This window comes from Homo sapiens, chromosome 9 (genome assembly GCF_000001405.40).
Source record: "Homo sapiens chromosome 9, GRCh38.p14 Primary Assembly".
NCBI lineage: Eukaryota > Metazoa > Chordata > Mammalia > Primates > Hominidae > Homo > Homo sapiens.
In genome coordinates, this window is record NC_000009.12 from 19,304,422 (window position 1) to 19,317,968 (window position 13,547).

At 36.4% G+C, this 13,547-nt stretch overlaps 1 protein-coding gene and 1 pseudogene across 39 annotated transcripts in view; both read left to right on the forward strand.

Annotated features, from left to right (window-relative positions):
- DENND4C (DENN domain containing 4C) overlaps positions 1-13,547 on the forward strand; it is a 143,769-nt gene that overhangs the window by 73,909 nt on the left and 56,313 nt on the right. For 32 of the 39 annotated variants that reach the window (NR_169842.1, NR_169852.1, NR_169854.1 and 29 more), the window contains 3 exons: positions 931-1,106; positions 11,996-12,096; positions 12,200-12,418. The exons of 1 other annotated variant lie outside the window; for it this stretch is intronic. Coding sequence is in view for 24 of the 38 variants with exons in the window: in NM_001386047.1 (NP_001372976.1) it covers positions 931-1,106; positions 11,996-12,096; positions 12,200-12,418 (496 nt within the window). In the remaining 14 variants the exon portion in view is untranslated. The remainder of the gene's footprint in view (positions 1-930; positions 1,107-11,995; positions 12,097-12,199; positions 12,419-13,547) is intronic. 6 more of the 39 variants (NR_169850.1, NR_169848.1, NM_001386039.1 and 3 more) reach the window with 1 other exon arrangement.
- On the forward strand, positions 6,270-6,367 carry LOC124902350 (uncharacterized; annotated as a pseudogene).

The following is a 13,547-nucleotide window of genomic DNA, read 5'->3' on the forward strand; positions in this document are numbered from 1 at the left end:
GATCCACTCACCTCAGCCTCCCAAAGTGCTGGGATTATAGATGTGAGCCACCGTGCCCAGCCAATTGACAGTATTTTTAAGATGTCAAACATCACTGATGTTTATTTGAAGAGTTACGAATTTTTTTTTTTTTGAGACCGAGTCTCACTCTGTCACCCAGGCTGGAGTGCAGTGGCACAGTCTCTGCTCACTGCAAGCTCCACCTCCCAGATTCACGCCATTCTCCTGCCTCAGCCTCCCGAGTAGCTGGGACTATAGGGGCCCACCACCACGTCTGGCTAATTTTTTGTACTTTTTTTTTTTTTTTTTAGTAGAGACGGGGTTTCACCTTGTTAGCCAGGATGGTCTCGATCTCCTGACCTTGTGATCCACCCGCCTTGGCCTCCCAAAGTGCTGGGATTACAGGCGTGAGCCACCGCGCCCGGCCATGAATTTTTTTTTGTTGAGCTCTTTAATTATCTGTTAGCATTCCCTGGAAAATAATTAGTTTTTTTTTTTTTTTAAATCCTGGATGCTTTTAGTTGGATTTTGATCTGAGGTAATTTTGAGAATTAATAGGTGAATGAAATGTGTAAGAGTTAAAGATAATAAGTTTATTTTATGATATTTGGGGCCATTTTATTTTATTTTGATTCTTTCCATAAAATTGGAATGTGTGCTTTGTATAGATACTAGAAGAATTAACATGCAAAAAGCTGTTAGTATTTTTATTGTGCTTATGATCATCGTCATGGCTTGAAAATTTTAATTACATTTGTTCTTAGCATTGCTTAGTAGTATTTTATAGTCATTTAGTTTTGGAATGAAGTTTAAGGTAAACAAAACAGACTTAACTGCTTTTCAGTGGTCCCTTTTCAGTAATACTAGTTACTTATATATTTTTTATTGCAAATTTAAAATTTGGTTAATTTTTTAAAACTTTTTCCCCAGATGATCTTTCCATTTCAGTGGCAATGCCCATATATTCCCCTTTGTCCTCTTTCACTGGCTGCAGTGCTTAGTGCACCTTTACCATTTATAGTTGGAGTTGACTCAAGGTATTTTGATCTTCATGACCCACCACAAGATGTTGTTTGCATTGACTTGGATACGAACATGTTATATGTGTAAGTTGATTCATTTTATATTATCTCCCATTTATATTTTTCACTATGTAGAGTTACAGTTCTTTGAAAGCATCTAGAAATATGCTATTTTTGGTAGTTGTTAAATCTTCGTCTTAAATACAGCAGCTCTCAACCAGGGCAGGTATCAGAATCTGGGAATGCTGTGTGATTTGGGAAAAAAAAATGTTCAGTATTATAATAGTTTATATTTGGGTAACAATATTAAATGTAAGCAGGAGATATTTATGTTTATCAGAAGAGACTATGAGTTGGAAAAGTAATGGTTAAACACTGCTTTCAGAGCTCAAGAGATGATATGCTTTCTGGGTTTAATTCAAAATCCATATGTAAGTAAAATGGGTTTACCCATTGGAGATAAAGTTTGGCTACAGTATAGGGTGATATTATACCATTTGCTTAGTTGTCGGGATTTTAATTTTATAAGGATCTGTTGTTTACTGCTTAGAAATTTATATTAAAAATCAGTGATAGTTTGTGTTTGCTGAAGGTGATAATTAAGTACAGCAGTGGTACAGCTGAGGGTTCAGAGAGTAGCAAACTACATTAATAAAAGAAATAGTTCTGGATGGATGTTTAAGGGTTACCACTTCCCCACCAAAAGTGGGAAAGGACAGTAAGTATTAAAAATGTTCTTATGTTGGTGCCAACTTCCAGGCCGTAGAACGCTTTTATTCTTTACTGTTTGAGATTGGTAGAAAATGAAGAGAGAAATATTTTGGGTAAGGCCTGAATAGTTCCAACAGTAGAATTCGTTGGGAAAATATTTTTATGTGAACCAAAAAAATAACCTAAGGGAGGAAGAAAACATTTGCTATAACTTAAAATATAATTTTGACATGGATCTACCATTGTATTTTGAAACTGTATAGCTATAGTGGCTCCTTATGTATATTTAGATTTACTTACAGCTTGAAAGTAATGAACAACTTGCATGAATTAGTTTTTTGTAGCACACATTTTATTGTTTGTAGGCTACTCTCCCTGAAAAACAATTATTTCAGGAATGTATTCATTGTGGTACTTTTAGAAATGATTATTTGTGAAGTTAATACTCAGATTTTTTACCTTATTTTATTTTTATTCTGAATAAAATAATATGGAGATTCTTAATTTTGCGCAGTTTTGAGTAACTTTTATAAAACTTCTGGTAATCAAAACATTATTTTCTAAAATAAATGTGAAGTGTTTGCACAATTGTATTTATTTATTTATTTATTTATTTATTTATTTATTTATTTATTTATTTTGAGACAGAGTCTCACTGTGTTGCCCAGGCAACAGAGTTGCAGTGGTGCAATCCTGACTCTCTGCAGTCTCCGCCTCCTGGGATCAAGTGATTCTCCTGCCTCAGCCTTCCGAGTAGCGGGAATTAACAGGCGTGTGCCACCACACCTGGCTAATTTTTTTGTATTTTTAGTAGAGATGAGGTTTTACCATGTTGTCCAGGCTGGTCTTGAACTGCTGACCTCAGGTGATCCACCCACCTTGGCCTCCCAAAGTGCTGGGATTACAGGCATGAGCCACTGTGCCCGGCATGCTCAATTGTGTTTAAAGAATTATAAAATGTGCCCAGGTGTAGTGTCTCACACCTTTAATCTCAGTACTTTCGGAGGCTGAGGCAGGAGGATCACTTGAGCCCAGGAGTTTAAGGCCAGCCCGGGCAACTTGGTGAGACTCCATCTACATAAAATAAAAAATTAGCTAGGAGTGGTGGTGCGTGCCTGTAGTCCCAGCTACACAGGCAGCTGAGGAGGAAAGATCACTGTAGTCCAGGAGGTCGAGGCTGCAGTGACCCATGTTGACCCACTGCACTGCAGCCTGGGTAACAGAGCAAGACTCTGTCTCAAAAAAAAAAAAAAAAAAAAGAAGAAATACCTCCAAATTATACAGAATAATGTAAATAACTTGTATCTATTCACCACAACTTTATTAAGAAATAGGCCGGGCACAGTGGCTCATGCCTGTAATCCCAGCACTTTGGGAGGCCGAGGCAGATGGATCACCTGAGGTCAGGAGTTCAAGACCACCCTGGCCAACATGGTGAAACTCCGTCTCTACTAAAAACACAAAAATTAGCCAGGCATGGTGGTGGGCGCCTGTAATCCCAACTACTCGGGAGTCTGAGGCAAGAGAATTGCTTGAACTGAGGAGGTGGAGGTTGCAGTGAGCGGAGATCATGCCATTGCACTCCAGCCTGGGCGACAGAGCGAGACTCTGTCTCAAAAAAAAAAAAAAAAAGAAAATATTAGCAATAAATCTGAAATCCCTAGATAGTCCTCCACAACCATATTTTGCTCCTTTCTCCCAGAGAGGAGCTCCAGATCCAACCATCATCTTGGATAAACTCCAAATCCAACCATCATCTTAGATTTGGAGTTTATCACATACATGTATTTTTCAAACATTTATTATATATATATTAATCTAAATAAAATTTTGTTTTGCATACTTATAAATTTTTTTCTACTTGAATAGTTTTCTGTGAATTACTTTTTTGCTCACCATTCTTTGTGAGGTTCATTCAGTTCATTTTCAACAGTGATCAATGTTGATGGACATCTAGGTTGTATCTAGATCTTTGATGTTAGGAACAAAGCTGTTCTGATCATCGTATATATTTCCTTGAGTATATGCTCAGGAATTCCTCTGAAGCATATACCTGGAAGCGCTAATGTTGCTTGGTAGGGAATGAGCATTTTCAACTTAATAGCTAATACCAGATTACTCTCCCAAGTTTACTCCGTCCTCAGCAGATGAGAGTTCTCTTTGTTTCATATCTTTGCCAACACTTGTGGTGACTTTTAAATTTTTTACCAATTTGATGGTAATGGTATTTCACTGTGGCTTTAATTCACATTTCCTTTATTAGTAGCAAATGGAGGATTTTCATATCTTTGTGCCCCTTGGTTTTCCTCTCCTGTGAATTGGATGTTCCTTTTGTTGGTACATTTTCCTGTTAGATTGTTTGTCTTTTTCTTTTGATTTGTAGAAATTGTATATATAATCTGGAATTAATTCTTTGTCTGCTGTATGCATTCCAGATAGCTTCTCCCACATTGTGACCTGTCATTCCATTGTGTTTATGGTATCTTTTGATAAACAGGGGCTCATCTTAATTTATCAAATTTATTAATTTCTCTTTATGGAGTACTGTTTTTGGTTCTTGTATATGAGATATTTTGCCTTGAGGCCATGAAATACTATCATGGTTATTTCTTAAGTTGTGAGGTTTGCCTCTCTCATTTAGTTATTTAATTCAGCTAAACTTGATGTGACATATCAGTTTCTACATTTGTATAAATATGTATCTGGGCTAATTCTTTTCCTTTGATTTGCTTCAATCTCTTGCCAGTATTATACTGTCTTAATGGCTTTAAAATTAAGTTGTCTACAACATGAATGAACCTTGAAAACATTATGTTAAAAGACCTTATATTATAATTCAATGAAATGTCCAAAGCAGACAAATCTCTAGAGGTAGAAAGTAGATTGATTAGTGATTGCCTTGGAATGAAGAGGATGGGAGTATTGGAAGCTAAGTGACTATGGGATTTCTTTTTGAGGTGATAAAAATATTCTAAAATTGCTTGTAGGCCGGGAGTGGTGGCTCACGCCTGTAATCCCAGTACTTTGAGAGGCTGAGACGGGTGGATCTCCTGGGGTCGGGAGTTTGAGACCAGCCTGACCAACATGGAGAAACCCCATCTCTACTAACAAAACAAAACTAGCCGGGCATGGTGGTGCATGCCTGTAATCCCAGCTATCCGGGAGGCTGAGGCAGGAGAATTGCTTGAACCCAGGAGGCAGAGGTTGCAGTCAGTTGAGATCGTGTCATTGCACTCCAGCCTGGGCAATAAGAGCAAAACTCCATCTCAAAAAAAAAAAAAAAATTGATTGTAGTGGTGGTTACACAATTCCGTGAATATGATAAAAACCATTGAATTGCACAGGTCAAATGTGTGAATTGTATGGTGTATGAATTTATATCTTAATAAAACTGTTTTAAAAAGTCATGGTATGAGACTTTTTTTTTGGCAATGTCCATGGTGAATCCCCTTACTCCTGTTCTTTTTAAAAATTGTTTTGACTCTATTTGGTCTTTTGTTTTTCCATGTAAATTTTAATACCATCTTATTAAGCTCCACACAAAATTACATTGGGATTTTTGTTAGAATTTTTTTTTTTACCTTTTAAATTTTTTTTAATTGATATCGTAATTGTATATATTTATGGGGTGCAATGTGATGCTTTGGTGTATGTATACATCATGGAATGTTTACCTGAAGTGGTTAATATATATTGTATTTATAGATTCGTTTGGAGGCAGATGATACCTTTTTGACACACGTTGAAAATATGCACAAGAAATATGACCCATGAATGTGATATTTCACTTCATTGGTCTTTTCAGAATTTTTTGGTGAACTTTGTGTTTTCTCCAGAAAGATAATTCACATCTTTTGTTAGACTTATTTATTCCTAAGTATCTTTCAGTTTTTATTGCTACTGTAGATGGTATTTTAAATTAGACTTTCTACTTGTTGCTAGGAAATGTAGTTGATTTTTATATAGTGGTCTTATATCTAGCAACTTAGTTGAATTCCTTTTTTAATTTGTATATTATCTTCAATTTTCTGCCTATAAACATCACATTTCTCTACTTACACTATCCTAATGTATTTTAAAATTTTTTATCTTAATTCTCCAGCTAGGATCGCTAGTGTAATGTTGAACAGAAGTAGTTATAGTTGGTATCTTGTCTTGTTTCTAATTTCAAAGGGGATACTTTGAGCAGTTTGTCATAAAGTATGATTATTGATATACAACAGGGATTGACATCTGGCCCAAAGCTTGTTTTTGTAAATAAAGTTTTATTGGAACACAGCCATGCTCATTCATTTACATATGGCCCATGCCTGCTTCCATGATGCAACAGCACATTTGAGTAGTTATGACAGAGACTGTATGGTCCTTAAAGCCTAAAATATTTACTGTCTGGTTCTTTCAGTAAAAATTTGCCTATCCTTCCTCTAGAGTTTTGATATCTTAATTATAAATTAAGGAATTTACCTTCTACTTCTATGTCATTAAAATTTTTTTTAAATCATAAGTAGATACTGAATTTTATAAATACTTTTTGTGATCTTCTTATAGTTGATAAGCGTTGATGATTGGATGTTCACGCACATGTGTGAGATGTGCCTCCTACAACTTGATGTTGGCATATTACCTGTCTGATGTGAAAGGAAAAAAAAAACCTTTTTGTTCAGCTGTTGAGATGAGCATTTTCTCCTTTACTCTGTGTGGTAAATTACATTATAAAATCAATTAGTAGTAGACAGTCCTTGTATTCCTGAAATAAACATCATTATAGTGGATTAAATTTGCTAAGAATTTAAGATAATTGCATTGATGTTCATAAATGATATTGGCCTGATGTATGGCTTTTTAGTTGCGGACCATACTTTGTATATAATGCTTTTATTTTTGTAGACTTTAAATATTCTTTATTTTTATCAAAAAAATTTATTTGACTTATGTATTACATTAAAGTTTGTCTTTTGAATTTCCAAAGTTTTTTTCCTTTGTTTGACAGAGTCTTGCTCTGTCTCCCACGCTGGATGGAGTAGAGTGGCCCAATCTTGGCTCACTGCAACCTCCACCTCCTGGGTTCAAGCAATTCTTGTGCCTCAGCCTTCTGAGTAGCTGGGACCACAGGCATGCACCATCATGCCTGGCTAATTTTTTTGTATTTTTAGTAGAGACAGGATTTCACCATGTTGGCCAAGCTGGTCTGGAACTCCTGACCTCAGGTGATCCGCCCACCTCGGCCTCCTAAAGTCCTAGAATTATAGGCATGAGCCACTGCGCCTGGCCCCCACAAAGTTTATTTTCTCTTAAATGCTAACTCCGTTGAATTGTGATCAGAACATTCTCTGTTACTACTTGTTGAGATTTGCTTTGAAGCCAAGTATATCGTCAGTTTTTGTAAATATTCTATGTGAAAGAGTTCCTAGAAATTGTCAAAAGACCAATAACTCTATAGAAAAATAGGCAAAGACTATGAAGACTTTTCACGGAAAATCAAATAAGCTTAAGCTTATTTAATGCTTAAGCACCTCACTCATTATAGGAGAAATGCCACATTAGTTCTTCATGTTGATACTGCTTTTTCACTTTTCAGATTGGCCAAAAAGAAAAAAAAAATTCAAAATGAAATGCTTAAATAGCATGCTATTTGAGGATGATGGGAAATAAGCAGTCTTTATGCATTCACTGCAGTTAGAAGTGAGATATATATGATGACAGCTTCTATGGAGGATATCTGGCAACATTTGTCAAAATTACAAATATATATACTACAGCAATTCCACTTCTAGGAATTGATCCTAACATTTTATTTTGTATGAAATCATGTTTGTTCAAAATAGAAAAAGAAAAATCCAGATGTCCCAGACTTGTTAAATGGCTCCTACAGTGGAATACTACTGTAGCGCTGTAAAATGAGCAAGGATGCTTTCTGTATTGGGAAAAAAATCACAAAAGATATTTTGTTTTTGTTTGTTTGTTTTTGAGACAGAGTCTTGCTCTGTCGCCCAGGCTGGAGTGTAGTGGCGCGATCTTGGCTCACTGGAATGTCCACCTTCCAGGCTCAAGCAATTCTTATGCCTCAGCCTCCCGAGTAGCTGGGATTACAGGCGTGTACACCGTGGCCACTTAATTTTTGTATTTTTTGTAGAGATGGGGTTTCACCATGTTGGCCAGGCTGGTTTCAAATTGCTGGCCTCAAGTGATATGCCTATATCAGCCTCCCAAAGTGCTGGGATTAAAGGTGTGAGCCACCATGCCCGGCTACAAATTATTAAATGAAAAAAATCAAGGTGGTAATTGTGTATTGCAGTGTGCTGCTACTTGTGCAAAAGAAAAGGCAGGGAATAGTTGTATTTACTTGTATCTGCTAGTTTTGGAATAAAGACACATTAAAATATGCACAAGAAACTAGTGATTATGTATTATGGGGGTGAGGGAGCTGAGCAGACATGGAACAAGGGTGTGTGTATGTGTTTTAAGTTATTTTTGAGCTGTGTGATCATACTAAAGTTTTAAAACTCCCAGTGTGATGGTGGATTTGTCAATTGCATTTTATAGTTATTTGGACATTTGCTTTATGTACTTAATTAAGGCTGTGTTATGAGGGACACTCAAGTTCAAAATGGTTCTGCAGTGAAATGAATACTTTTGTCTTGTAGCCACTTTAAAAAAAATCACTGATGCTCTTTTTGTTAGTTTGTGCTTTTCTTCTCATTAATACGTTATGTTAGATATATTATGTTTGGTATATCTTTTCCCATCCCTTTAATTTCAGATATTCTGTGCATAGTATATAACTGGCATTAAAAATCCAATCTAACATTTGTCTTTTTATTGAAGAGTCCATTAATTTACATATATTGTTATATATTTGAACATTTCTGTCTTATTTTGTCCTTTTTGTTCTGCTGTTATTCTTTTCTCTCTTTCAGATTGAATGAATTATTCTGTTTTTTTCCCATCTACTTACCTAAATGTTATATTATGTGTGTCTATAATTTCATATTTATGTTCCTTTAATGATTCCTCTTAATTTTTTAATATGGGTACTTAGAACTTAAAATTAATATTTTACTCTTTTTTTAAGCAGTAAAGTAGACTTTAAAATACTTTAATTGGCAATATCCTCTTACTCTAATTGGTACAAAAACAATGAATTTTACAATTGATGGCCCCTTAGATTAGATGAAATGTAGTTCATCTACCCACAGTAGCCCTGTATATTAGGTACATTATCAGTCCTCATTTTGCAGATCAGAAAATTGAGTAACAGACTAGTTGACTGATGTATACAAACTCACACAGATAGTAAACGTCAGGGCCAGATTACAAATGGATGTTAATCCAGACGATAATGACAGTATTTTATTTGGGGGTGGGGTTAAAAGATAGCACTAAAATATTAGACAGCGATTACATAAAATGAGAGAAGTTGATCAGAGTTAAACTTGACATGCCATCACTTTTAAGACACAGTTTCAAGAGACGTTAAAATATGTCTTTTAACAGTACCAGACACAAGGGAAGTGTTAGCTCTTTTATTAGACGTTTATCCTTACAGAGAGGATATTATGTTTGCTTCCATTCTGGTGGCATTAAGCCAGGGAGCACTTGAAGTTAGTTATTTTGACTTACAGTTTCTTGTGCCATGCCAGTAGCGTGCTGTCAAACTCATAACCCATTAGTTGGCAGGCATATAGTAATGAATTCTCAGGGGAGATCCCTCCCCTAATCAAAATCCAAGCTGAGGGAGCTAAGCTATGAGGACACAAGGCATAAGAATGATGCAGTGATTAGCTAGGTATGGTGGCATGTGCCTCTAATGCTAGCTACCTGGTGGGCCGAGGCAGGAAAATCGCTTGAACCTGGGAGGAAGAGGTTGCAGTGAGCTGAGATTGTGCCACTCCACTGCAGCCTGGGCAACAGAACGAGACTTCCCCTCAAGAGAGGGGAAAAAAAAGAATGATACAATGGACTTTGGGGACTTGGGGGAAAGGGTGGAAGGAGGTTGAGGAACAAAAGACTACACATGAGGCCAGGCGCAGTGGCTCATGCCTGTAGCCCCAGCACCTTGGGAGGCTGATGCAGGCGGATCACGAGGTCAGGAGATCGAGACCATCCTGGCTAACACAGTGAAACCCCGTCTCTACTAAAAATACAAAAAATTAGCTGGGTGTGGTGCCACACGCCTGTAGTCCCAGCTACTCAGGAGCCTGAGGCAGGAGAATCGCTTGAACCTGGGAGGTGGAGGTTGCAGTGAGCCAAGATCGCACCTCTGCACTCCAGCCTGGGCGACAGCTCAAAGACTACACATGGGGTACAGTGTATACTACTTGGGTGATGGGTGCACCTAAATCTCAGAAATCACCACTAAAGAACTAATTCATGTAACCAGACACCACCTGTTCCCCAAAAACCTATTGAAATTTAAAAAACATTGACATATTTTGTTAAAATAAAAGATGTAAGTATGCAAAAAAAGATTCCAAAATGCAATGACTTGCTTAGAAAAAAAAACTGCATGTGAACTGCACTGAGTGCTAAAGAAAAATAATACAAAATAGAACCTGATTAAAAAATCATTTCATTAATAAAGGTACAACCAGTGTTCCAGGTTGATCCTAAAGCTGGAATCTCTGCCCTTTTCATTATGCCATGCTACATTTAGAGAAACCTAAGCAATTCACTGACTTAGGTAAAGGGCTTACAACTGTAGCATTTTGGGTTAAAAAAAGAATCAGGCTGAGTGCAGTGGCTCATGCCTGTAATCCCAGCACTTTGGGAGGCCGAGGTGGGCGTATCACATGAGGTCAGGAGTTTGAGACCAGCCTGGACAACATGATGAAACCCTGTCTCTACTAAAATAAAAAATTAGCTGGGCGTGATGGCGCGCCCCTGTAATCCCAGCTACTCAGGAGGCTGAGGCAGGAGAATCGCTTGAACCTGGAATGCGGAGGTTGCAGTGAGCTGAGATCGTACCACTGCACTCCAGCCTGGACGACAGAGACTCCGTCTCAAAAAAAAAAAAAAAAAGAAAAGAAAAAGCTGAGCCAGACTTTCAAGGGTACCAGTTTTATTTGGAAGTTTCAGTTCTAACATACTTCTTGGTGAGACTGAAACTATGTGTCCTGTTCTGTGAGAAGCCTTTAAAATCCAAGGCTGTCTGTTAATCTTCAGGGCAGATGTGGCCTTGGTGTTACTCTGGGTTTTCAACCCGTGAAGATGTCCCCAATTTTCTTGCCAGCTTAACCATGAATTTTAAAGAAAGTTTGTTATATTTATGCTAACTTTTGTAAGAAGAGGGCTTTTTAGGCAGTTGTCTGCTGTATTTTATATTCTTATATTCTTGGAATATATATATATATACATGTATGTATATACATGTATATATGTATGTGTATATATATACGTGTATATATGTATGTGTGTATATATACGTGTACATATATGTATGTGTGTGTATATATATACACACACACATATATTTTATATTTTCGGAATATAAAATTTTGGAAAAAGAAGCTTTTAGTAATACCTTTAAAAATGGTCATCTCTATGGCTTTGGGGTTTTTTTTTTTCTTTTTGAGACATAGTCTTGCTCTGTTGCCCAAGCCTGAGTGCAGTAGCGCAATCTCGGCTCACTGCAACCTCCGCCTCCTGGGTTCAAGTGATTCTTCTGCCTCAGCCTCCTGAGTAGCTGGGACTACAGGCACACACCACCACACCCGGCTAATTTTTGTATTTTTAGTAGAGACGGGGTTTCACCATGTTGGCCAGGCTGGTCTGGCTTTGGTTTTTATTGTTTCATGATCATAGATTATATTGAATAATGGCGTTATGATTATTTTTAACTGTGAGGGCTGGATGAACTACATGTGCTTTTAATCCTTACTTAAATTCCAGTTCTTGTCTTTGGGCACACAGCATTTTTGAAGCCTACCAGTAGGTAGTTTGAAGTCTCATGTCAACTAGGTTTGACACTTAGAATATTATAATTCTAAAATGTAACTTTTGAATCTAGACTTCAGTGTTGTATTCCTAACTCCAACATTGAAAATATATGTTGGAAGGTTAGAATGAGATGGCTAAATTTGACAGAGGTCGATTGAATGAAAAGAGAACTTCCTTGAAATTCACTTATTCAAATTGTTTGCATCAGTTAAGACTGTAGTAAAAACATCTTTTCCATTTTCTTGTTTTAGGTTGATGCAAGAATTTTGTCTAGTAAAAGCAGATTATGAATAACACATTTTATGAATTTTGTTCTGATTTAATAGATCAGATGAAAAGAAGAACATGAACTGGAAGCAACTTCCCAAAAAGCCGTGCAAAAATCTACTTAGCACCTTAAAGAAATTGTATCCCCAGCTGTCTTCAGGTAATGTGAGGGAAAAGGAATATTATTAATGAAGGAATGTATACGAGAAAATTCTTCTTAAATTTAACATAATACCATTTTCTGTTTTTATTTCCTTTGTTAGTTCACCAAAAAACTCAAGAAGGCTCAGCGATTGACATGACTCCAATTGAAGCAGATTTCTCCTGGCAAAAGAAGATGACACAGCTTGAGATGGAAATTCAAGAGGCATTTTTGCGCTTTATGGCGTCTATTTTAAAAGGATATAGAACATATCTCAGACCAATCACAGAGGCTCCTTCAAATAAAGCCACAGCTGCTGATTCATTGTTTGACCGACAGGGTGAGTAGCATTGAAAGTACAATTCCTTTTATTGAGGTGAAAAATATTTTATATTTGATGTTGCTGCCAAGAAATACTTATTGTATAAATTATTACAAATTCACATTCAAATATAATGAACCTCCATGTATTTGTAACCTAGCTTTATGACTAGAATTTCTTGTAATTTTTATAGCCCATTTTTCTCCTGAGAAATCTGAAACTAGAGATATTTAATTATGAAAAGTCAAAGATGTTACCTATATTTACAATATCTTGTAGTCAGTTATTTTAGTAGAACATAACTGGAGATTTGCCTTCAGGTATTTCCTCAATTTTGCATAGTTCCTTGGATTTGTACACTTTTTTTTTTTTTTTTTTTTAATAGAGCAGAGTCTTGCTGTGTTGGCCAGGCTGGACTTGAACTCCTGGCCTCAAGTGATCCTCCTCCCTGGCTTTCCAAAATGCTGGGATTACAGGTGTGAGCCACTGCACTTGGCCAGATGTGTACACTTTTGGCTTTACAATTAGTTTGTGCAATGAGGGCACTACATTTTAACCATTTTTGACTAATGTAACTTTGTTCCAGGGAAAAACGTATACTCGTTATTTTTAGTATGTTTTGTTTTAGGGAATTATAGAGATTTTTGTTGTTATTCAGCTACTGTTATATATGTAGTAGCAATCTTACATCTATATCAATATTTATGTGAAATTATTTTACTTCTCTGTGCTTTTTACCTAGTGATTACTTTAAAAAAAATCTGTATTTTCCCAATAATCCTTTTGTCCTTTATCTTTTCTGCTTTAGTGTAACTTACCACTTAAATATTTAGTTACTACTTACTGGCTAGTTATTATGTAGGAATATAAAGAAGTATAAAACCTAGCTCTATGGGATCTTAAATGGAAAATAATTAAGATATTTTAAAAATAGAACAAGTACTCAAGAAAACATATTTTACACAGTTTTAATTTGGAAGTTTTAAGAGTTCAGAAAAAAAAGGGATGTTCTTCCAAATATTCCAGTATTTCAAAATGGGTGTTTTGGAAGACTTCGTGGAAGAAGCATGACTTGGAAGAATGGGTAGAATGGAGATAAATGGAGAAGAACAGAAAAGGCTTTCTGGAAGTCCATAGGCATTAAGAG